General features: G+C 45.9%; 1 protein-coding gene across 1 annotated transcript in view, besides 3 other annotated features; it reads right to left on the bottom strand.

The window, feature by feature from the left end:
• The window catches only part of CBFA2T2 (CBFA2/RUNX1 partner transcriptional co-repressor 2), a 159,935-nt gene extending 141,838 nt beyond the window's left edge, over positions 1-18,097 (bottom strand). Inside the window, exon 1 of the mRNA NM_001032999.3 lies at positions 17,892-18,097. Within this exon, the coding sequence (NP_001028171.1) occupies positions 17,892-17,925 (34 nt within the window). The 5' untranslated portion in view covers positions 17,926-18,097. The remainder of the gene's footprint in view (positions 1-17,891) is intronic.
• Positions 17,778-18,057: a silencer, noted in NCBI's record as "silent region_12814". NCBI's record gives its function as "represses an Ori minimal core promoter by ATAC-STARR-seq in GM12878 lymphoblastoid cells {active_cell/tissue: GM12878}" and the evidence as "EXISTENCE:reporter gene assay evidence [ECO:0000049][PMID:35858748]".
• Positions 18,068-18,287: a silencer, noted in NCBI's record as "silent region_12813". NCBI's record gives its function as "represses an Ori minimal core promoter by ATAC-STARR-seq in GM12878 lymphoblastoid cells {active_cell/tissue: GM12878}" and the evidence as "EXISTENCE:reporter gene assay evidence [ECO:0000049][PMID:35858748]".
• Positions 18,382-18,930: an enhancer, noted in NCBI's record as "H3K27ac hESC enhancer chr20:32077069-32077617 (GRCh37/hg19 assembly coordinates)". NCBI's record gives its function as "activates a minimal SCP1, AML or CMV promoter by ChIP-STARR-seq in naive H9 embryonic stem cells {active_cell/tissue: H9 hESC(naive)}" and the evidence as "EXISTENCE:reporter gene assay evidence [ECO:0000049][PMID:30033119]".

Genomic DNA, 23,531 nt, shown 5'->3' with positions numbered 1-23,531 from the left:
AACCCGGGAGGCGGAGGTTGCAGTGGGCTGAGATTGCGCCACTGCACTCTAGCCTGGGCCAGAGTAAGAGGCTATCAAACAAACAAAAACAGCACAAAGGCAAAGGGACCTGACCCGTCTGCTTCCTACTCTCATCTCCTGCTATTCTTTACCCAGCACTTCACACTTCAATAATACATAACTACTTTCAGTCCCCCTCACACTCATAAACCTGACCCAGCCTCAACTTCACCCATCTCCTACCCATTCTTCACTTGGGTCATGCTTTGCTGGTAGGAGTATAAAAGCTGATATACCTCTCCAGAGGGTATTCTGGCAACATCTATCAAAATTACACAAACAGGCAAACCCCTTAACCCCAGCAGTTCTACTTCTAGGAATTTACTCTACAGATCTATGAAAAGACAATTGCTACAAGGTTATGCAGCATTGTTTGCAACAGCAAAGGATTGAAAGGTAAATGTCCATCAGCAGTAGGGGGGAAAAAGTATGGTGCAGTCATACAATGAAATACAATGCAAAATGAGGAAGTTCTTTACCTACCGACATTATATGGCCTACAGGAATGTATCGAAAGGGTCCAGAAAAAAATGGTAATGCTAGCTGCTTCCAGGAAGGGGAAAAGACTGGCTGGTGCAGAGGTGAGAGAAACTTCAATAAGTATTCTTTGTTCGTTTCAAATGTTAAATTAGCTAAATACATAGCCAGTCCAAAAATTATTTTTTTATGTTGTAAGGAAAAACAGATTGGCTCAAAACAGATATCATTTTCTCTAAGAAGCCTTTTTTGAAACACACTCACACATGCATACTTACACATTAGGTCAGATGCCCATCCTTGGTAGGATGTTACTTGCCATTAACACTGCTTAGCATTTGGTACTGAAGCTATCAATCTCCCTTACTGGACTACATAGTCCTCCAGGACCTCAGAACTCTTTATATCCCCCAGGATCTGATACAAGGAATTCAATAAACGTTTGTCAAAGTAAATATCTGAAATCAAGAATATCCTAGAAAATCAATAACTTTTAGTCACTGTAATGACAATTCATTATAGTCCACCTTCTAGTATAATTAGCTGTTTGTCCTTCTAATAGAATACAAATATCAGGCCCTTAAATAAATGACATATTGAATTTAACTAACAGGGTAACACCAAGAAACTGAACTGGCAAGTAAGCTAAAATAATTTACAAAAAAGGGACATTCACATAATCAGAAATTGATTTCAGTATTCCAAATGGCTACTTACCAGTTACAGTTTTTTTGGACATTCTCCCCATTGAACACACCATTCCTCAGAGTCCAACATCCACAAAATTAGCATGAACTATTTAGAGACCTACAGAAAACTCATAGCTAGCCAAGTGTTGCTCTCCACAGCTGCAGCTAAGTGCTCAGTGGCTCTGGGGCATGGATGGCATCCCATCTCCTTCCTCCGAAATTCCCTGCCTCCATTGATTGAACCAGAATCCTTGTTTCACTATTTCCCAACAGAACTCTCACTCGATGGCATCAATTACAAGAGGAAAAGATGGTTAATCACTATCTAAACTTAAAACATCTGTTTAAAAGTTTTTATTACAAGAGCTATCCAAAAACTGTTAGGGCACAGAAGGAAAACTAGAAAATCACTGAGGACCGGGACCGAATCTTACCTACCTTGGCAGCCCTATGGCACTTAGCGCAATCCCTGCATCTAACAGCTCCATAATACAGTTGTTAATGGTTTCACTTAGTGTAGGAAGTGGATTTTTATTTTATCTGTATTAATTTTTTTCAATGTATTTATGTATTACATAAAACAAAGTAAATATGAAAAAAGAGGGGACCTGTGTCTCTGTGTGTATTGTAGTAGTACTGGCCATTTTGCTATTCAGCTCTTGTATTAAATTGCTTCTCTTCTTTTTTGTATTAATTTATATTATTATGACTATTATTATTATCTTGTAGAGACAGGGTCTGTGTTGGCCCAGTGTGGTCTCAAACTCCTGGACTCAAGCAATTTTCCCACTGTGGCCTCTCAAAATGCTGGGATTATAGGCTTGAGCCACCATACCCAGCCCCTTCTATTTCTTTTCTTTTTTTATTTTTATTTTTTTTGAGACAGTCTTACTCTGTCCCCTAGGTTGGAGTGCAGTGGCACGATTTCAGCTCACTGCAACTTCCACCTTCTGGGTTCAAGCAATTCTCCTGCCTCAGCCTCCCTAATAGCTAGGATTACAGGCGTGCGCCACCAGTCTGGCTAATTTTCATACTTATAGTAGAGACAGGGTTTCCCCATGCTGGCCAGGCTGGTCTTGAACTCCTGATATCAAGTGATCCATGTGCCTCAGCCTCCCAAAGTGTTAGGATTACAAGCCTAAGCCACCACACCTGACCCCTTCCATTTCTTTCTTTTTTTTTTTGAAACAAGAGTTTCGCTCTTGTTGCCCAGGCTGGAGTGCAATGGCGCGATCTCGGCTCACTGCAACCTCCGCCTCCCAGGTTCAAGTAATTCTCCTGCCTCAGCCTCCTGAGCAGCTGGGATTACAGGCATGCACCACCACGCCTGGCTAATTTTGTATTTTCAGCAGAGATGGGGGTTTCTCCATGTTGAGGCTGGTCTCGAACTCCTGACCTCCAGTGATTCACCCGCCTCGGCCTCCCTAAGTGCTGGGATTACAGGCGTGAGCCACTGCACCCGGCCGACCCCTTCTATTTCTATTCAACCATTTTTTTTCTGCAAACTTGTTCCCATAAACAACTATGGAAACCACTACAAATGGAGAGTACTATAAAATTAATCATGAGGTAACATACAGTGTTCAAAACATCCTTTAACAGTCCCTCAACTGATTCTCACCTTTTCAGGTAGACAGGTGAAAAGATGAAATTAACTCAAAATTCAAATATGAATTGTTCAAGACTGCACTGCTTATGAATTTGAGGTAAAAGAAAGGACTGGGATGACACCCATATCTTCCTCTATTACACCTCTACTTAAAAGAGAGACAGAATGTCCCCTCACAGCTCCAAATCCAAAAAGCCACACTCTCACATTCTAGCCGTGTGACAGTGAGTAAATCACCTGATTACCCGAACCAATCTCCTTATACAAGTTAAGAGGATGAAGACACTTCTACCTACCTTAATTGCTATAAAAATTAGATATGTGAAAATTGTTCTGATACACAAATGGTAGTTACCATTATTTCTGCAAATGATGTGTAAATAAGAACTGCACTAACCCCAAAAGAATATAAATAGCAAGGGACCCTACATTCTAAAACAAGTAACAGAGAGTATTCCTTTCATTGTAGAAATGAGATGACCAAAATTGATTTCACCCAGATATAGTGCTTCCTTAACAATTAATTCTAAAACAAAACAAAACAAAAATACCAACAAGCAAGTGAAACTGTCATACATTAGTAGTGGAAATGCAAAATGGTATGGTATAGCCATTTTGGAAAACATTTTGGCAGTTTCCAAAAAAGTTAAGTATAGGCCGGGCGTGGTGGCTCACACCTTTAATCCCAGCACTTTTGGAGGCCAAGGTGGGTGGATCACCTGAGGTCAGGATTTCGAGACAGTCTGGCCAACATGGTGAAACCCCATCTCTACTAAAAATACAAAAATTAGCCAAGCGTGGCGGTGCACACCTGTAATCCCAGCTACTCGGCAGACTGAGGCAGGAGAATTTGCTTAAACTCAGGAGGCGGAGGCTGCCGTGAGCCATGCCACTGCATTCCAGCCTAAGTGACAGAGCAAGACTCCATCTTAAAAAAAAAAAAAAAAAAAAAAAGTTAAATATGAAATTATCATAGAACCCAGCAATCCCATGCCTAGGTATTTATCCAAGAGAGAGAAAAACATATGTCCACATGCAGAACCGTATATGAATATTTAAAGCTTTATTCATAATCATCAAAATGGGAAACAGTTCAAATGTCCATCAGCTGGTGAACATAACATGTTACTCAACAATAAAAAGGAACAACCTATAGATACATGACACAACGTGGATGAATCTCAAAAGCATTATGGTAAGTGAAACACATCAGACACAAAGGTTACATACTGTATGATTCCATGTATATGACATTATAGAAAAGAAAAAGTAGAGAAACAAGCAAACAAAAACCCCCATAAAACTGTGAGTGACAAAAACCAGTATAAACTAGTAGCTTCCAAGAGCGAGGTGAAAAGAAAGGGGTGTGAGAAAACTTACAGGAAGAATGAAAATTATCTCTATCTGGTTTGATGATTACAACTGCATACTAATAATACAAAACTAATAGAACTATGCCATGAAAAAGAGCAAGTTTTTTTCTCTACCCACTGACAAAAAAAAAAAAAGTAAATTTGATTGTATATAAATTACATCTTGGCCACGCATAGTGGCATATGCCTGAATCCCAGTACTTTGCGAGATCGAGGCAGGAGATTCGCTTGGGCCAGGAGTTCGAGGCCAGCCGGGGCAACATAGTAAGACCCTGTCACAAAAAATTTAAAAAGATTTCAAGTTATTCTGAGACTCTGCCAAGACAGAAGCACCAAGAAAAAAAGATAAATAAATAAACCATACAAAATGAATATATTTCACTGCTATCTAGTTTTATACAATAATTTTTTTCCTAAAAATACACACAAAATGGCCAGGTGCGGTGGCTCACGCCTGCAATCCCAGCACTTTGGGAGGCCGAGGCGGGCGGATCACGAGGTCAGGAGTTCGATACCAGCCTGGTCAACATGGTGAAACCCCGTCTCTACTAAAAATACAAAAATTAGCTGGGCCTGATGGCGGGCGCCTGTAATCCCAGCTAGTCGGGAGGCTGAGGCAGGAGAATCGCTTGAACCCGGGAGGCAGAGGTTGCAGTGAGCTGAGATTGCGCCACTGCATTCCAGCCTGGGCGACTGGGCGAGACTCCATCTCAAAAAAAAAAAAAAAAAAGAAAGAAAGAAAGAAATTTAGATACATATTTTTTGATATGTGTATATGTATGTGTGTGTATATATTTCCTAGCTCTGTCCATTAAGAAGTTCTAAAAAACAATATTCCAATAGGAATGAGCACACACAGCATCCAAATCTTTTTTTTTTTTTTTTTTTTTTTTTGAGACAGAGTCTCGCTCTGTCACCCAAGCTGGAGCGCAGTGGCGCGATCTCAGCTCACTGCAAGCTCCGCCTCCCGGGTTCACGCCATTCTCCTGCCTCAGCCTCCGGAGTAGCTGGGACTACAGATGCCCGCCACCAAGCCCGGCTAATTTTCTGTATTTTTTAGTAGAGATGGGGTTTCGCCGTGTTAGCCAGGATGGTCTCGATCTCCTGACCTCGTGATCCGCCCCCCTCGGCCTCCCAAAGTGCTGGGATTACAGGCGTGAGCCACCGCGCCCGGCCTCCAAATCTTGATTTCTAAATAATTTTCTCCACTGAAAGGAATTAGGAGAGAAACAGTTTGGAGAAATGGCCGATTCCAAGAAGAGGGTAAGAAGAGCAGAAACTAGGCCGGGCACGGTGGCTCACGCCTGTAATCCCAGCACTTTGGGAGGTCGAGGCAGGCAGATCACAAGGTCAGGAGATCCAGACCATCCTGGCTAACACGGTGAAACCCCGTCTCTACTAAAAATACAAAAAATTAGCCGGGTGTGTTGGCGGGCGCCTGTGGTCCCAGCTACTCGGAAGGCTGAGGCAGAATGGCGTGAACCCGGGAGGCGGAGCTTGCAGTGAGCCGAGATCGGGCCACTGCACTCCAGCCTGGGCGACAGAGCGAGACTCCGTCACACACACGAAAAAAAAGAAAAAAAAAATGAAGAGCAGAAACTAAGCCTACAACACCTTTTTGGTGTGTCAAAAAAAGCAGTTAAAAAATGTGGGAATGTGTCAAAATGACACAAAAGCCAGCTTGAAGGGGATCTCCCTGGCCAAATCTGGAACAATGTGAACACAACAAATAATGACAGTAACAGAGTATTAAAATAAGAATCCATAAATCCATATTAATATATATACACAAAGATAAGAAAATGCTCTGCAGAAGAATATTAACTAATAAGCAAGGAAGGACTGACAGAAACAACAACAAAAATTAGCTGACGCTTGTCTATAATCCCGGCTAGTGCCACATAAGGTGGCTTGCGCCTGTGATCCCAGTACTTTCGGAGCTTGAGGTGGGAGAATAACTTGAGCCCAGGAGTTTGAGATCAGCCTGGGCAACAAAGTGAGACCTCATCTCTACAAAATAAAAAATTAAGTAAATTTTGTAATTAGGCCAGGCGCAGTGGCTCATGCCTGTAATCCCAGCACTTTGTGACGCTGACTCAGGCGAATCACCTGAGGTCAGGAGATCCAGACCATCCAGGCCAACATGGTGAAACCCTGTCTCTACTAAAAATACAAAAATTAGCTGGGTGTGGTGGCATGTGCCTGTAATCCCAGGTACTCAGGAGGCTGCAGCAGGAGAATCACTTGAACCAGGGAGTCGGAGGTTGCAGTGAGCCGAGATCGCACCACTGCACTCCAGCCTGGCGACAAAGTGAGACTCCCTCTCAAAAAAAAAAAAAAAAAAAAAAAAAAAAGGAAGGCTAAGAATATAGTTTCAACTACTTAGCCAGACCAACTTATCAAGGGAAAATTAATGGGGAGCTGAATTTCAGCAATTGGCTGGGGAATGCAGGAGCTAAAACCATCACCTCTCCCGGCACTTCTCCCTCACCATTCTGCATTTCCCTAATCTCAGCTACTTCCACCTTTAGTCCCAGACATAAAGTTAGTGTAGCTCTAGGGATACAAGGCCAAAATGAATAAATCTGTGTTGTTTAAATGTCTGTTCTCATGTGGCTTCGAAAAATTAAAAGCAGGCACGACCTCTGCATGGAGATGGCTAAATTAACAAAGAAATAAGGGAAACATTTGTAAGAGAGGAAAAGGCCAAAATAGTGTATCAAGGGAGCTGTGCTATGCCTGATATTAACATTTCACTGGAGCTGCTACAGAGGTCACATTACATATTTGTCACCATCAGCTAATTTGACTGAAAGGTCTAGCCAACTCCAAAGCTATAAATTCAGACAGAAGGATACCAAGCTCTGGGTTATTCTGAATTTATACTTTGATTTCTGCATTTAATTACAACACAAAATAGAAGGGTAAAATCAAATCTTAAAGAGCCACATTGCAAAGTAAAGCTTCATTGCATAGTCTATATACTATATTTGATGATCCATATTTGACAGCTCCTCATAGAGCCATGCAAAATTAGCATGGACATTTCTTGGGCTTTTGATGTTCACTGCCATCATCTGCTTCACTGCTAAGATCAGGAAACATATGGGATGAATTGTTAAAGACTGCTGACAGTTTCTGTTGCCTTTTTATTTTTTTAATTCATCTCTAAGGCCAACTTAGGATACCCCTGAACAAGGTCTCATATAGCTATCTTTAAATCATACCCCAATTATTTGGACTTTTTTAAATTTTTAAATTTTTATTTATTTTTTTGAGACAGAGTCTTGCTCTGTCGCCCAGGCTGGAGTGTAGTGGCAGGATCTTGGCTCACTACAACCTCTGCCTCCCAGGTTCAAGTGATTCTCCCACCTCAGCCTCCCAAGTAGCTGTGATTACAGGCATGCGCCACCATGGCTGAATAATTTTGTATTTTTATTAGAGACGGGGTTTCTCCATGTTGGTCAGGCTGGTCTTGAGCTCCCAACCTCAGCTGATCCATCAGCCTCAGCCTCCCCAAAGTGCTTGAATTACAGACGTGAGCCACCGCGCCTGGCCTGGACTTTTTTTTTTAAATAAGAAGAGTTGTTAGGGAAAGAAAGTTGAAGAAAGATTATGGGAAATCAATTATCTTCAGGAAGCTCTGGGCTCCTGTAGAACACATGTCTAAAAACCCCTAGTCTAGCAAAAAGAAGCCATGCGATAGAGGGTTAAAAAAAAGTGGGTTTTTGGCTGGGCGCAGTGGCTCACGTCTATAATCCCACCACTTTGGGAGGCAGAGGCGGGCAGATCACAAGTCAGGAGTTCAAGACCAGCCTGGCCAAGATGGTGAAACCCCGTCTTTACTAAAAATACAAAAATTAGCCGGGTGTGGTGACGGGCGCCTGTAGTCCCAGTTGCTCAGGAGGCTGAGGCACAGAACTGCTTGAACCTCGGTGGTGGAGGTTGCAGTGAGCCAAGATCACACCACTGCACTCAGCCTGAGCGACAGAGACTGTCTTTAAAAAAAATAAAAAATAAAAAATAAATGGGTGTTTGGACACTCAATGCATAATGAATGAACTTGACACCAAGATTAAACTAGTTAGGAAGAGTGAATCTACTACTTATTAACTGTGTGACCTTGGACAATTAAATTCTCTAACTCATTTCTTTTTTTCTTTTTTCTGAGATGGAGTCTCACTCTGTCGCCCAGGATTTCCTTATCAGTAAAACAGAGATACTCTCTCCCAAGTTTGATCTATAATTAAATGAGATGATTGATGTACATAAAAAATGCCCAGCAGAAAATCTAGCCAAGACTTTTTCTTAAAAGAATTCAACTAGACTTAAAGTCATACTCGGCTGACGTATCTGCTTATTGACTCATTTCAAAAGTTCAAGTTATGGTACCCCAACTCCTAAAATTTCAGATAGCCTCAAGGGGCCAGAGACAGAAACCAGAGACAGAGGCAAAAAGCTACTTAACCAGCCTTAATAAAATCCAGAAACAAGGTCTGTCACATGTACAAACACTAGCTCATGTCGCACATGTAAACTATTACTACAGCATTATGAGATCCCTTCCTTGGTAATCTTACTAAAGCCTAAACAATAACCAGAGTGATTCTTCTTCATTAGCCTCCAAGCTTTCAGGGATTTGAAGTAAATCTTTACAAAAGAATGGTCACTTTCTATGAGATTCAAAACAATACTCTAAGGAATGAGAACAAAATTGGCAGGTGAGAAATCTTACTTCCCCACCTCTTCCTCCTATTTTCATTACCCTGAACTTAGTGAATTAACTCATTTTGATCCCAGGGCTGCAATCATTCATTAAGCACTATCATTTAAACCATTCTTCCTGCCTAAAACTCTGGATTCACATAACCTATACAACATTTAACACTTGAGAACAAGCTTAAACTCAATCTCTCTGCTTATTTTTTTTTTTTTTCTTTTTAGACGGAGTTTCACTCTTTCGCCCAGGCTGGAATGAAGCAGCGTGATCTCAGCTCACTGCAACCTTCCGCCCCCTGGGTTCAAGCAATTCTCCTGCCTCAGCCTCCTGAGTAGCTGAGATGATAGGCACCCACCACCATACCTGGCTAATTTTTGTATTTTTAGAAGAGACGGGGTTTTGCCATGTTGGCCAGGCTGGTCTCGAACTCCTGACCTCAGGTGATCCGCCCGCCTCGGCCTCCCAAAGTGCTGGGGTTACAGGTATGAGCCACTGTGCCTGGCCATTATTATTTTTTATTATTTTGAGACAGGGTCTCTCTGTCACCCAGGCTGGAGTGCAGTGGCACTATCACTGCAGCTTCCAACACCTGGGCTCAAGCGATCCTCCTACCTCAGCCTTCCGAGTAACTGGGACTACAGCTGAGTGGCACCACCATCACGCCCAACCTCTCTGCTGATTTTTTGATTCTGTATATAAGAAAACTAGGTCAGGTTGGGCGCGGTAGCTCACGCCTATAATCCCAGCACTTTGGGAGGCCGAGGTGGGCAGATGACCTGAGGTCAGGAGTTCGAGACCAGCCTGGCCAACATGATGAAACCCCCATCTCCACTAAAAATACAAAAATTAGCCAGGTGTGGTGGCGCATGCCTGTAAACCCAGCGACTTGGGAAGCTGAGGCAGGACAATGGCTTGACCCTGGGAGGCGGAGGTTGCAGTGAGCAACTGCACTCCAGTGCCACTGCACTCCAGCCTGGGCAACAAAAGGGAAACTCCATCTCAAAAAAAAAAAAAAAAGAAAGAAAATTAACTGGGCCAGGCACAGTGGTTCATGCCTGTTAATGCCAGCACGTTGGGAGGCCAAGGCAGGTGGATCACTTGAGCCTAGGAGTTCTAGACCAGCCTGGGCAACATGAAGAAACCCTGTCTCTACCAAAAATACAAAAGTTGGTCTCATAACCTGGTTTCAAAATTAACAAACAAAAATTTTAAAAATACAGTAAGATAAAAAGAAAACTAACTGGTTCCAAACTAGGATAAACTTACTCAAAAGTCAAAGAAGGGCTGGACTCAATGGCTCACATCTGCAATCCTAGCATTTTGGGAGTCCAAGGCAGGAGAATCATTGGAACCCAGTAATTAGAGACCAGCATGGGAAACATAGAAACATCCTGTCTCTATAAAAAAAATAAAAATAAGCTGGGTGTGGTGGCTCACGCCTGTAATCCCAGCACTTTGGGAGGCCAAGGCGGGCAGATCACGAGGTCAAGTGATCGAGACTAGCCTGGCCAACATGGTGAAACCCCATCTCTACTAAAAATACAAAAATTAGCTGGGCGTGGTGGCGTGTGCCTGTAGTCCCTGCTACTCGGGAGGCGGAGGCAGGAGAATCGCTGGAACCCGGGAGGCAGAGATTGTAGTGAGCCCAGATCACACTACCGCACTGTAGCCTAGCGACAGAGTGAGACCCCTTCTCAAAAAAAAAAAAAAAAAAAAAGTATACAAGCTTCAAACACAGTCATGGTCCCAGCAGGAAACATGGCATACTCCAGTAAGGTTAATTCAAGGAGGGTTTAATAATGGAACTAGAAAGAAATATGTGAGCAGGGTACAAGATAGGCACAAGGGATAGCTGTAATACCCTGGGACTAATGAGAGCATCTCTAGATCTCTAGGCCCAACAACCAAAGGGAACAAAAACTTTCCAAACCTACATGGAGGATGTCACACAGAAAGGACCACATTCTTTTTTTTTTTTTTTTTTTTTTTTGGAGACAGGGTTTCGCTCTTGTCACCCAGGCTGGAGTGCAATGGCGTGATCTCTGCTCACCATAACCTCCGCCTCCCGGGTTCAAGCAATTCTCCTGCCTCAGCCTCCTGAGTAGCTGGAACTACAGGCATGCACCACCATGCCCAGCTAATTTTGTATTTTTAGTAGAGACATGGTTTCTCCATTTTGGTCAGGCTGGTCTCAAACTCCCGACCTCAGGTGATCTGCCGGCCTCAGCCTCCCAAAGTACTGGGATTACAGGCATGAGCCACCGCACCCGGCCGAGAGGACCACATTTAGAGAAGCAGTGACCTTCAGTCAAGGGACAGAGTCAGCTAAGGGCACAACCCATGAGACGGGAGTAGGAAAATAAATTTCATAACCTCAAAGGGGAAGGAAGCTCATTGATGTAGTCCATATAGGTAAGTCAGCTTCCCAGGGCACAGGATAGGGTGAAAAAGGATGGAAAGCAGACCTAGAAGAGCAAACAAAAGGTACCTATTCAACGTCAGACAAGCCTTTCTGATGCACTTTCCGATCTCTTCTGTAATCCCAATGGATAAGTGCCAGATAAGGAAAGGGATACTGAAGATGATCATTCTTACCCCTTTTAAATAGTAATGCACAGGTCCTATCTACTACAAAACATTTGTAACCAAGTTTTTCACTAGTAAATATGGTCATTTACCATTCCACTTTTAACTGTTTAGACTTCCTTGAAGGTCCAATGATTATATACCTTTCTCGACACTAATGAACTTCCTACTTACCTTGCTAGGCAAAATAAAATTACAAAAATGCAAACATTGTCAAAACCCTCAAGGAGTTTATAATTTAGAAGCTTATATTCTTAGATAACTAAGAAGGCAGAATGAGGTATGTGCCAGAGAGAGAAGGAAAGGGCTGTGGTGGTGTGAAAAGTTCTGTAACAGGCTTCTTTGCCATCTGGCCCCTGCCAGGAACAACTCCAGCCAGAATTCACTATTAACAAGGTATATAAGCTTCAATCAGGTTCCCTGTAGGTCCAGATCTGATAAACTACTCACCAAGCCCTCAACTACCTTCAGCCAGTAGACTTCACCCTTCCTTCTCCTGGGAAAAGCCTCCCTTCTCCTTTAAAGCCTGGTTTAATGTCACCCCTTTAGCTGGACCTTACCTGGAATCTCAAGGAATAATTAGTTATGTCTCCCCTGCCTTCCCAAAAGCCTTACGCTTAAAGCACTTAAAACACTTTATCATTACCTGTTGACTTGTGCACGGCCCCTCCTAGACTGAGACCCTAAGTCAGATGGTATACCCTCAGCCACTAACAACCACCAGAACAGAATGTGTCAAGCACGGTTTTAAGTACTTTACATATATTAACATATATTAACCATCATAATAAACCTGCAAATGGGGTAGAAATTTTATCTCCATTTTTCAGATGAGGAAAATGAACTGCACAAGAAGGTTAAGTAATGAGCCTGAAGTCTCAAAACTTGTTAGGATTGGTTCCCAGGATTTTAACCTCAGCACAACTCCAGAATTAAATTTCAAAACTTTAGAATTTAAATCTTAACCATTACATTTTTTTCTTTTTTTGAGACAGAGTCTTGCTGTGTTGCCCAGGCTGGAGTGCAGTGGCACGATCTCAGCACACTGCAACCTCCGCAGTTTCTTTCAAGCAATTCTCCTGCCTCAGCCTCCCAAGTAGCTGGGACTACAGGAACCCGCCACCACGCCCAGCTGATTTTTTTTGTACGTTTTTTGGTAGGGACGGGGTTTCACAATGTTGGCCAGGCTGGTCTTGAACTCCTGACCTCGTGATCCGCCCACCTCAGCCTCCCAAAGTGCTGGGATTACAGGGATGAGCCATCGTGCCCGGCCTTTTTTTTTTTTTTTTTTTGAGATAGAGTTTCCCTCTTGTTGCCCAGGCTGGAGTGCAATGGTGGGATCTCAGCTCACGGCCACCTCTGCCTCCTGGCTTCAAGCAATTCTCCTGCCTCAGCTGGTACTACAGGCCCCCGCTACCACAGCCAGCTTCTTTTTGTATTTTTAGTAGAGATGGGGTTTCACCATGTTGGCCATGCTGGTCTCAAAACTCCTGACCTCAGATGATCCGCCCACCTCGACCTTCCAAATGGTGGGATTACAGGCGCGAGCCACCATACCCAGCCATTACATTTTACTTCTACCGAATAAACTAGATTTCATCAGAGCAATAGACCTAATGGATTGAGAAGGTACTACTACAAGATCAATGATCTCCACCCCAGGAGGTATTGTTAAAATTCACCACTGGGTGTAGAAAGACAACGTTGGAACTGCTACTTCCATTTATTTTACCTTATCCTTCTGTAAAATGTCTATTTTTGTATGTTATAAAACATACCTAGGACAGGCGTGGTGGCTCATGCCTGTAATCCCAACACTTTGGGAGGCTGAGACGGGCGGATCACCTGAGGTCAGGAGTTTGAGACCAGCCTGACCAACATGGTGAAACCCCATCTCCACTAAAAATACAAAATTAGCTGGGTGTGGTGGTGCATGCCTGTAATCCCAGCTATTTGGAAGGCTGAGGCAGGAGAATCGCTTGAACCTGGGAGGCGGAGGTTGTGGTGAGCCAAGATCGCCATTGCACTCCAGCCTGGGCAACAAGAGCAAAACTCCATCTCAAAACAAAATAAAACAAAACAATACACCTAATACAGTGGCCGGGCGCGGTGGCTCATGCCTGTAATCCCAGCACTTTGGGAGGCCGAGGCGGGCGGATCACGAGGTCAGCAGATCGAGACCATCCTGGCTAACAGGGTGAAACCCCGCCTCTACCAAAAATACAAAAAATTAGCCAGGCGTGGCGGCGGGCACCTGTAGTCCCAGCTACTCGGGAGGCTGAGGCAGGAGAATGGCGTGAACCCAGGAGGTGGAGCTTGCAGTGAGCTGAGATCGTGCCACTGCACTCCAGCCTGGGCAACAGAGCGAGACTCTGTCTCAAAAAAAAAAAAAAAAAAAAAAAAAATATATATATATATATATATATATATATATACACATATATATGCCTAATACATAGTACAGTCACACTATAATCGCCATTTAAAACAAACATTCAGGCCAGGCGCGGTAGCTCACGCCTGTAATCCTAACATTTTGGGATGCCAAGGCGGGTGGATCACTTTAGGTCAGGAGTTTGAGACCAGCCTGACCAACATGGTGAAACCCTATCACTGCTGAAAACACAAAATTACCAGGGGTGGTGCCATACACCTGAAATCCCAGTACTTGGGAGGCTGAGGCAGGACAATCACTTGAATTCAGGAGATGGACGATGCAGTGAGCCGAGATCGCACCACTGCACTCCAGCTGGGGCAACAAGAGCAAAACTTCGTCTCAAAAAAAACCATAAAAAAACAAAAAATAAAACATTCATAGAATGTGTGTGCATACTCAACCCTATTTACTGATGGAATGAACACTAAAAACATTTTAGGTGGCCAGGTATGGTGGCTCATGCCTCTACTCCCAATACCGGGAAGCTGAGGCAGGAGGATCGCTGCAGCCCAGCAGTTCAAGACCAGCCTGAGAAACACAGTGAAACCCCATGTCTACAAAACTTTTTAAACAATTAGCCAGGCATGGCAATACATGCCTGTAGTCACAGCTACTAGGGAGGCTGAGGTGGGAGGCTGACTTGAGCCCCAGAGATAAGAGGCTGCAGAAGCTATGCTCACTGGGCAGCAGAACCTGGGCAACAGAGCAAGACCCCACCTCAGTTTTAAAAAAAGAAAAAACAAACATGTGAGGCCACAGTTCTAGACTACTTCCCCAAGGACTCTGGCTCAGGGGTTGAAGCACCGATTTTAAGACTGAACTCCTATATTCTCTTTCCCAGCATGCCAGTTAAAAACTTCAATCAAGGCCAGGTGCAGTTACTCATGCCTGTAATCCCAGCATTTTGGGAAGCCGAGGCGGGCAGATCACCTGCGGTCAGGCGTTCGAGACCAGCCTGGCCAATGTAGTGAAACCCCATCTCTACTATAAATACAAAAATTAGCCGGACGTGTTGGCACGCACCTGTAATACCAGCTACTTGGGAAGCTGAGGCAGGAGAACTGCTTGAACCCAGGAGGCGGAGGTTGCAGTGAGCCGAGATCATGCCATTGCACGCCAGCCTGAGCAACAAGAGTGAAACTCCGTCTCAAAAAAAAAAAAAAAAAAAAAAAACCAAAACTTCAATCAAGGGCGGGTGCAGAGGCTCACACTTGTAATCCCAGAACTTTGGGAGGCTGAGGCGGGCAGATCACTTGAGGTCAGGAGCCCAGCCAAAACATGGTTAAACCCCGTCTCTACAAAAAATACAAAAAAAAATTAGCCAGGCATGGTGGTGAGCACCTGTAATCCCAGCTCCTCAGGAGGCTGAGTACTACACCAAGTGTACTGTCTAGGAATGTAATACAGAATTCTCTTAGAAACACTAAAAAAGGCCAGGCAAAGTGGCTCATGACTTTAATCCCAGCAATTTGGATGGCTGAGGAAGGAGGATTACTCAAGCCCAGGACTTCCGGACTAGCATGGGCAACAAAGCAAGACCCCATCTCTACAAAAAATAAAAAAATTAGCTGGGTGTGGTGGCGCCTGGAGTCCCAGCTACTCAAGTGGCTGAGGCAGGAGAATCACTTGAACCCAGGAGGTTGAGGCTGCTGTGGGCCATGATGACGCCACTGCACTCCAGTCTGGGTGACAGAGAGAGACTGTCTCAAAAAAAGGAAAAAAGAAAACAAAAATGTAGTTACGTAACAGAAGCAAAAGTTGTGCTTTTGGGCATATTTTAAACTAAATACTACACAAAAGAAATTTGGACACAATCTTTTTTTTTTAAGTGAAAGCAAGTTTATTATGGAAGTAAAGAAACAAAGGAAGACTACTTCATAGGCAGAAGAGCCCCCCAATTTTTTCAAATAAAAAGTCCTTTCTGGTCAGGCTTGGTGACTCACGCTCGTAATCCCAGCACTTTGGGAGGCTGAGGTGGGTGAATTACCTGAGGTCAGGGGTTCGAGACCAGCCTGACCAATATGGTGAAACCCTGTCTCTACTAAAAATATAAAAATTAAGGCCGGGCGCAGTGGCTCATGCCTCTAATCCCAGCACTTTGAGAGGCTGAGGCAGATGGATCCCCTGAGTTCAGGAGTTCACGACCAGCCTGGCCAACATGGTAAAACCGTCTCTACTAAAAATGCAAAAAATTAGTCAGGTGTGGTGGCAGGCGCCTGTAATCGCAGCTACTCTGGAGGCTGATGCAGGAGAATCGCTTGAACCTGGGGCGGGGGGAGGTTGCAGTGAGCCGATATTGTACTACTGCACTCCAGCCTGGGCAACAAGAACAAAACTCCGTCTCAAAAAAAATAATAAAATAAAATAAAATAATTGGCCGAGCGTGGTGGCATATGCCTGTAGTCCCAGCTACTCCGGAGGCTGAGACAGGAGAATAGCTTGAACCCAGGAGACGGAGGTTGCAGTGAGCCAAGATCACACCCCTGCACTCCAGTCTGGGCGACAGAGCAAGATTCCGTCTCAAAAAAAAAAAAGCCTTTCATTTTACAGAGATGCTGTACCTTTGCAAGCCTAAAAGAGTAATCACTATCCGCCTCTTTAGTTGGAAATTTCATGAGGAATGGATCAAACCATCAAAAGCAGTAACTGCAAGCTGGGTGTATCTACTTTTTCTATCTTCAATCCAACATTTAATGGGTGCAAAAAAAAAGAAGCGTAAAGCCTCCCTTTCACGTGTTTAAGGACATCAGCTCTGAGACTAGTACTCAGAGTACCTTCTGTTACTCAGTTTCATCCTCTGCAAAATGGGCATCCTCAAATAATGTCTTACTTAGGATGTCATCAAGATTAAACAATTAAAAAAACATGCAAAACATGTTTATCTGTTTCCTCATTTACTATGTCTCTCCCTCTCCTAACTAAACTCAAAACCCCAGTTCGGTCTATCTTGTTTATTGTATTCCCAGGGCCTGGAATGGTATTTTTAAACTTACTATATGATTTAATAAATATTAAGTGAATAGAATGCAAAATGTCTGGTGCTCAAAAAAATGTTGGCTATTATAATTACAATAATGAAAAACAATTAAAATTTTATTGTTCTTATTCAGAGAAGCCACCCCTCCCCCAAGGATCTCACACATCAAGGAGGAACACTAGATAAATACTGGAATGGCTAAATGGAAGTAAGAATAACAATTAGATCATGGAGCAGGACTAACAGACAACAAAACAAAATCTTAACACGGCTAGAGCCTAATTTCGGACTTTTCCGAGTGCGGTGCACACTGGATCAGATTAATAAAGGACGATTACAATAATGACAGTTTTCACAATTGTGTGTGTGCCACGGTCGGTGTCAAGCGTTTTACTGGCCTCACAAAACCCAAGAACCCTGGGGGAGGGAGGGAACCCGCTCCACATCCCCATTTTGCAGATGGGGGAACTGAGGCACCGGGAGAGCCAAGGTCACTACCTAAATGGGGAAGCCTGGATGTGAACCCAGGTAGCCAACTACTGAGCCTGCGCTCAAACAGGCCCTCCGAGGGGCCATTCTCATCTCCTCCAACCCTCAACATCGGGCGGGTGTAGTATTTCCCCAGGAGCCGGACTTCGTGGCCCCAGCGCTGGGACAACAAAATGATTCTTGCCCGCCGGCAAGTCCCATGGACGCCGGCCCGGCCTAAGTTCCGAGGCCGCGGGCCCCACAATTTCCCTCACACCGTGAGCCCCGAGCTCTTCGGGCGGCGCAGGAAGCGACGGGGTGGCCTCAGGAGCCCGGGAAGGCCCGCCCCGCTGCGTGACCTTGGATCCGCCGCCCCGCTTCGGGCCTCAGTTTCCACTCCCGGCCTCGCGCCCGGGGCACTCGGAATCACCGCGCCTGCGGAGCCGCAGGCCCTCACACGCCCCCCTCGGCCGCCCGCATTCACGCCCCACTTACGCTGGAAGGCGGCCGCTCCAGGGACGCCTACCATCGCCGAGCGCCGCCGCCGCGCGCCGCCCGCCTCTACCCGCGACACGGGTCCCTCGCAGGCGCCGCCCGCCTCGACCCGCGGCCCGGGTCCCTCGCAGGCGTCGCCGCGAGATCTGCAGCCGCCGAGCTAACCAGACACCACCACCGCTGCTGTCGCCGTCGCCGCCGCCGCCGCCGCCGTTAGGCCGCGCCCCGCCCCGCCCCCGGCTGGCCCCGCCCCGCCCGCCGGGCACGCCCCCGCCGCGCGCTCTCGCCGCCAGGCCAACGCACGCGGAAGCCCGGCCCCAAGACCAGCTCCCATTAAGCACCGCCCCCTAACCTGACCCGCCCCTTCCGCGGGAACCGACCGCCGAATCCCGGCGCAGCCTGCTTCTCAGACCTGCCCCCTCGGCGTCACGCGCGCCCGTCACGCGCACGGCCCACTTTCTAGCTCCAGACTTCCCGGTGTAGCCAGGGCAGTGGCCCAGGCTCGGGGGCCGAGTGCTAGGGGGAGGGATTACAACGAGTGGCAACGTCTCACCTGAGTTCTCCAGGTACAGGCCTGATGGCTTTTGCGCATGCCTTTGAGCGAGCCCCCTGGCTCAAAGTGTTTTTGGCCTGAAGTATTCTAAATGCCTAAAATTTCATCATCGTAATTTTAATAACTGTTGGCCGGGCGTGGTGGCCCACGCCTGTAATCCTAGTACTTTGGGAGGCCAAAGGAGAGTCACTTGAGCTCAGGAGTTTGAGACTAGCGTCTCTATTAAAAAAATAAATAAATAAAAATAAAAAATAGACCAGGCACGGTGGCTCAGGCCTATAATCCTAACACTTTGGGAGGCCGAGGAGGGTGGATTACCTGAGGTCAGAACTTCGAGGCTAGTCTGGCCAATGTGGCGAAACGCTGTCTCTACTAAAAATACAAAACTTAGAGCCGGGCGCAGTGGCTCAAGCCTGTAATCCTAGCACTTTGGGAGGCCGAGGCGGGAGGATCACGAGGTCAGGAGTTTGAAGACCAGTCTGGCCTATAAGGTGAAACCCTATCTCTACTAAAAAAATAAATAAATAAAAATACAAAAATTAGCCTGGTGCGGTGGCGCGTGCCTTTAGTCCCAGCTACTCGGGAGGCTGGGGCAGGAGAATCACTTGAATCCGGGAGGGGGAGGTTGCAGTGAGCCGAGATCGGAGCCATTGCACTCCAGCCTGAGCAAAAAGAGCAAAACTCCGTATCAAAAAAACAAAACAAGGCCAGGAGCTGTGGCTCACCCCTGTAATCCCAGCACTTTGGGACGCCGAAGCTGGCAGATCACAGCTCAGGATTTGGAGACCAGCCTGACCAACGTGGTGAAACCCCGTCTGTACTAAAAATACAAAAATTAGCTGGACTTGGTTTCACAAGCCTGTAATCCCAGCTAATCAGGAGGCTGAGACAGGAGAATTGCTTGAACCCCGGAGGCGGAGGTTGCACCGAGCCAAGATCACGACACTGCACTCCCACCTGGGTGACAGAGCGAGACTCCCTCTCAAAAAACAAAACAAAACAAAACAAAAAAATTAGCTGGGCGCGGTGGCGGGTGTCCATAATCCCAGCTACTCGGGAGGCTGAGGCAGGAGAGTCGCTTGAACCTGGGAGGCAGAGGTTGCAGTGAACCGAAATCGCGCCACTACACTCTAGCCTGGGCAACAGAGGGAAGCTCCGTCTGAAAAGAAAAGAAAAGAATAAAGACTCTTGTTTCTCAGTATTATTTCAGATATCTCACACCAAGAATATAGAATGCATTTGTATTTTACTTGTGTATTGAAAACAAATTTTAAAAGACAGAATGTAGGCCGGCCGGGTACAGTGGTTTATGCCTCTAATCCCGGCACTTTGGGAGGCCAAGGCAGGTGGATCGCTTGAGTCCAGGAGTTCAAGACTAGCCTGGGTAACACGGGGAAACCGCGCCTGTACAAAAAATACAAAAATTAGCCAGACATGGTGTTGCACACACGCTTGTAGTCTCAGCTACACAGAAGGCTGCGGTGGGAGGATCATATGAGCCAGGGAGTCAGAGGTTTCAGTTACCCCAGATCAGACCAATGTACTCTGGCCTGATCTAACAGATCAGGCGTGAGTAACAGAGTGAGACCCTGTCTCAAAAAAAGAAAAAAAAATGTAGAAATAAGAACATATGTGCATATACCAGCTGGGTATAGTGGTTCACACCTGTAATCCTAGCACTTTGGGAGGCTGAAGTGGGCAGATCACAAAAGGTCAGGAGTTCGAGACCAGCCTGGCCAACATGGTGAAAACCTGTCTCTACTAAAAATACAAAAGTTAGCCAGGAGTGGTGGCGTGTGCCTGTAGTCTCAGCTACTCAGGAGGCTGAGGCAGGAGGATGGCTTGAACTTGGGAGGTGGCAGTTGCAGTGAGCCAAGATCATGCCACTGCACTCCAGCCTGGGCCACAAAGCAAGACTCTGTCTCAAAACAAAACAAAAAAAAAAAAAAGAGAGAGAAGAAAAGAACATATGTGGCCAGGCATGGTGGCTCATGCCTGTAATCCCAGCACTTTGGGAGACTGAGGCAGACAGATCACCTGAGGTTGGGAGTTCGAGACCAGCCTGACCAACATGGAGGAACCCTGTCTCTAGTAAAAATACACAATTTGCTGGGCACATGCCTGTAACACCAGCTACTCAGGAGGCTGAGGCAGGAGAATCACTTAAACCCGGGAGGCAGAGGTTGCAGTGAGCCGAGATTGCGCCATTGCACTTCAGCCTGGGCAACAAGAGCGAAACTTCATCTCAAAAAAAAGAAAAGAACATGCATGTATATATATACTCTTTAAAGTGCCATGAGCACTGATGAAGAAAGCCCTCCCTAGAACGTTTTTGGAAAACACAATAAAAGGTACCAATGTACTCAGAGAGTCCCAGGAAGGGTCTCTAAACCACAACTAAAAGGCTATGAGGAATTCAGATGGGGTTAACAGCCCAGCTGAAATTTCACTTCCTTTGTGAAAATCTCTCCAATGCTCCTATCAAAAAATAATTTTCAAGACTGGGCAATAAAGTGAGACCTCCTTTCTACAAAAAATAAAAAAATTAGCAAGGCATGGTGGTGCACGCCTGTAGTCCCAGCTACTCAGGAGGCTGAGGCAGGAGGATTGGCTTGAGCCCAGGAGGTCAAGGCTGCAGTGAGCTGTGATCCGACCACTGCACTCCAGCATGGGTGACAGAGCAAGACCGTGCCTCAAAAAAAGAGTGATAATAATTTGGCCGGATGCGGTGGCTCATGCCTGCAATCTCAGCACTTTGGAAGGCTGAGGCAGGTGGATCACCTGAGGTCAGGAGTTTGAGACCAGCCTGGCCAACATGGTGAAACCCCATCTCTACTAAAAATACAAAAATTAGCTCGCATTGTGGCGGGCACCTGTAATCCCAGCTACTTGGGAGGCTGAGGCAGGAGAATCGCTTGAACCAGGAGACTGAGGTTATGGTAAGTCGAGATCATGCCACTGCACTCCAGTCTAGCGATAGAGTGAGACTCTGTCTCAAAAATAATTACTATTGACCGGGTGCGGTGGCTCACGCCTGTAATCCCAGCACTTTGGGAAGCCAAGGCTGGCGGATCACGAGGTCAGGAGATCGAGACCATCCTGGCTAACACAGTGAAACCCCATCCCTACTAAAAATACAAAAAAAAAAAATTAGCTGGGTGTGGTGGCGGGCGCCTGTAGTCCCAGCTACTTGGAAGGCTGAGGCAGGAGAATGGCGTGAACCTGGGAGGTGGAGCTTGCAGTGAGCTGAGATCGCGCCACCGCACTCCATCCTGGGCGACAGAGCGAGACTCCATCTCAGAAAAAACAACAACAACAACAACAAAAAAAAAACAAAGTGCTGGGATTACAGTCGTGAACCATGGCACCCACCCCGACCAGCTAATTATTATTATTAGTAGTAGTAGTAGTAGTAGAGGTGGTGTCTCTTTGTGTTGCCCAGGCTGGTCTTAAACTCCTAGAGCTCAAGCAATCCTCCAGCCTGGGCCTCTCAAAGTGCTAGAATTGTAAGCACGCGCTACCACACCCAACCTTCAAACTTTTTAAGATTCAAGTAAGAGAGACCGGGCCCAGTGGCTCACGCCTGTAATCCCAGCACTTTGGGAGGCTGAGGCGGGCTGATGATGAGGTCAGGAATTTGAGACCAGCCTGGCCAGCATGATGAAACCTCGTCTCTACTAAAAATACAAAAATTAGCCAGGCGTGGTGGCATGCACCTGTAATCCCAGCTACTCAGGAGGCTGAAAAATGAGAATCGTGCCAGGCATGGTGGCTCACGCCTGTAATCCCAGCACTTTGGGAGGCCGAGGTGGGTGGATTACCTGAGTTCAGGAGTTTGAGACCAGCCTGACCAACATGGAGAAACCCCGTCTCTACTAAAAATACAAAATTAGCCGGACGTGGTGACTCATGCCTGTAATTCCAGCTACTCAGGAGGCTGAGGCAGAAGAATCGCTTGAACCTGGGAGTTGGAGGTTGCGGTGAGCCGAGATCGCGCCACTGCACTCCAGCCTGGGCAACAACAGCAAAATTCCATCTCAAAAAAAAAAAAAAAGAACAAGAATCGCTTGAACCCGGGAGGCGGAGGTTGCAGTGAGCTGAGATTGTGCACTCCAGCCTGGGTGACAGAGTGAGACTCCATTTCAAAAAAAAAAAAAGAACTATTATGAAGAATTTTATGCCCTCAAGTTTGACATTTTAGATAAAATCAATAATTTCCTTGAAAGATACAAACTACTGGCCGGGCACGGTGGCTCACGCCTGTAATCCCAGCACTTTGGGAGGCCGAGGCGGGCAGATCACGAGGTCAGGAGATCGAGACCATCCTGGCTAACACAGTGAAACCCCGTCTCTACTAAAAATACAAAAAAAATTAGCCAGGCGTGGTGTCGGCCGTCTGTAGTCCCAGCTACTCCGGAGGCTGAGGCAGGAGAATGGCGTGAACCTGGGAGACAGAGCTTGCAGTAAGCCAAGATCGTGCCACTGCACTCCAGCCTGGAGAACAGAGCGAGACTCCGTCTCAAAAAAAAAAAAAGAAAAAAAAAGAAAGATGCCAACTACTAAAGCTTACTGAATAAGGTGATCATCTGAATATCCTATATATATTAAGAATATTAGGCCAGGTGCGGTGGTTCACACCTGTAATCCCAGCACTTTGGGAGGCCAAGGTGGGAGGATTCCTTAAACCTAGGAATTCAAGATCAGACTGGGCAACATAATGAGACCCTGTTTCTACAAAAACTAAATTTTAAATGTTAGCAGGCATGCTGGCACAAGACCATGGTCCTAGCTACTTAGTAGGTTGAGGTAGAAAGATCACTTGAACCTGAGAAGTCAAGGCTGCAGTGAGCCGAGATCACATCACTGCACTCCAGCCTGGGCAACAGAGCAAGACTCTGTCTCAGAAAAAAAATTACATTTATGGTTAGGCCAAGCATGGCAGCTCATACCTGTAATCCCAGCATTTTGGGAGGCCTAGGCAGGTGGATTGCTTGAGCCCAGGAGTTCAAGACCAGGCTGGGTAACATGGCAAAACTCCAGCTCTACAAAAAATACAAACATTTGCCATTCATAGTGCTGCATCTCTG

Source organism: Homo sapiens, chromosome 20 (assembly GCF_000001405.40).
Source record: "Homo sapiens chromosome 20, GRCh38.p14 Primary Assembly".
NCBI classification, from domain to species: domain Eukaryota; kingdom Metazoa; phylum Chordata; class Mammalia; order Primates; family Hominidae; genus Homo; species Homo sapiens.
The sequence above is the reverse complement of the archived record's forward strand: the minus strand, read 5'-3'. Positions and strand labels throughout refer to the sequence as shown.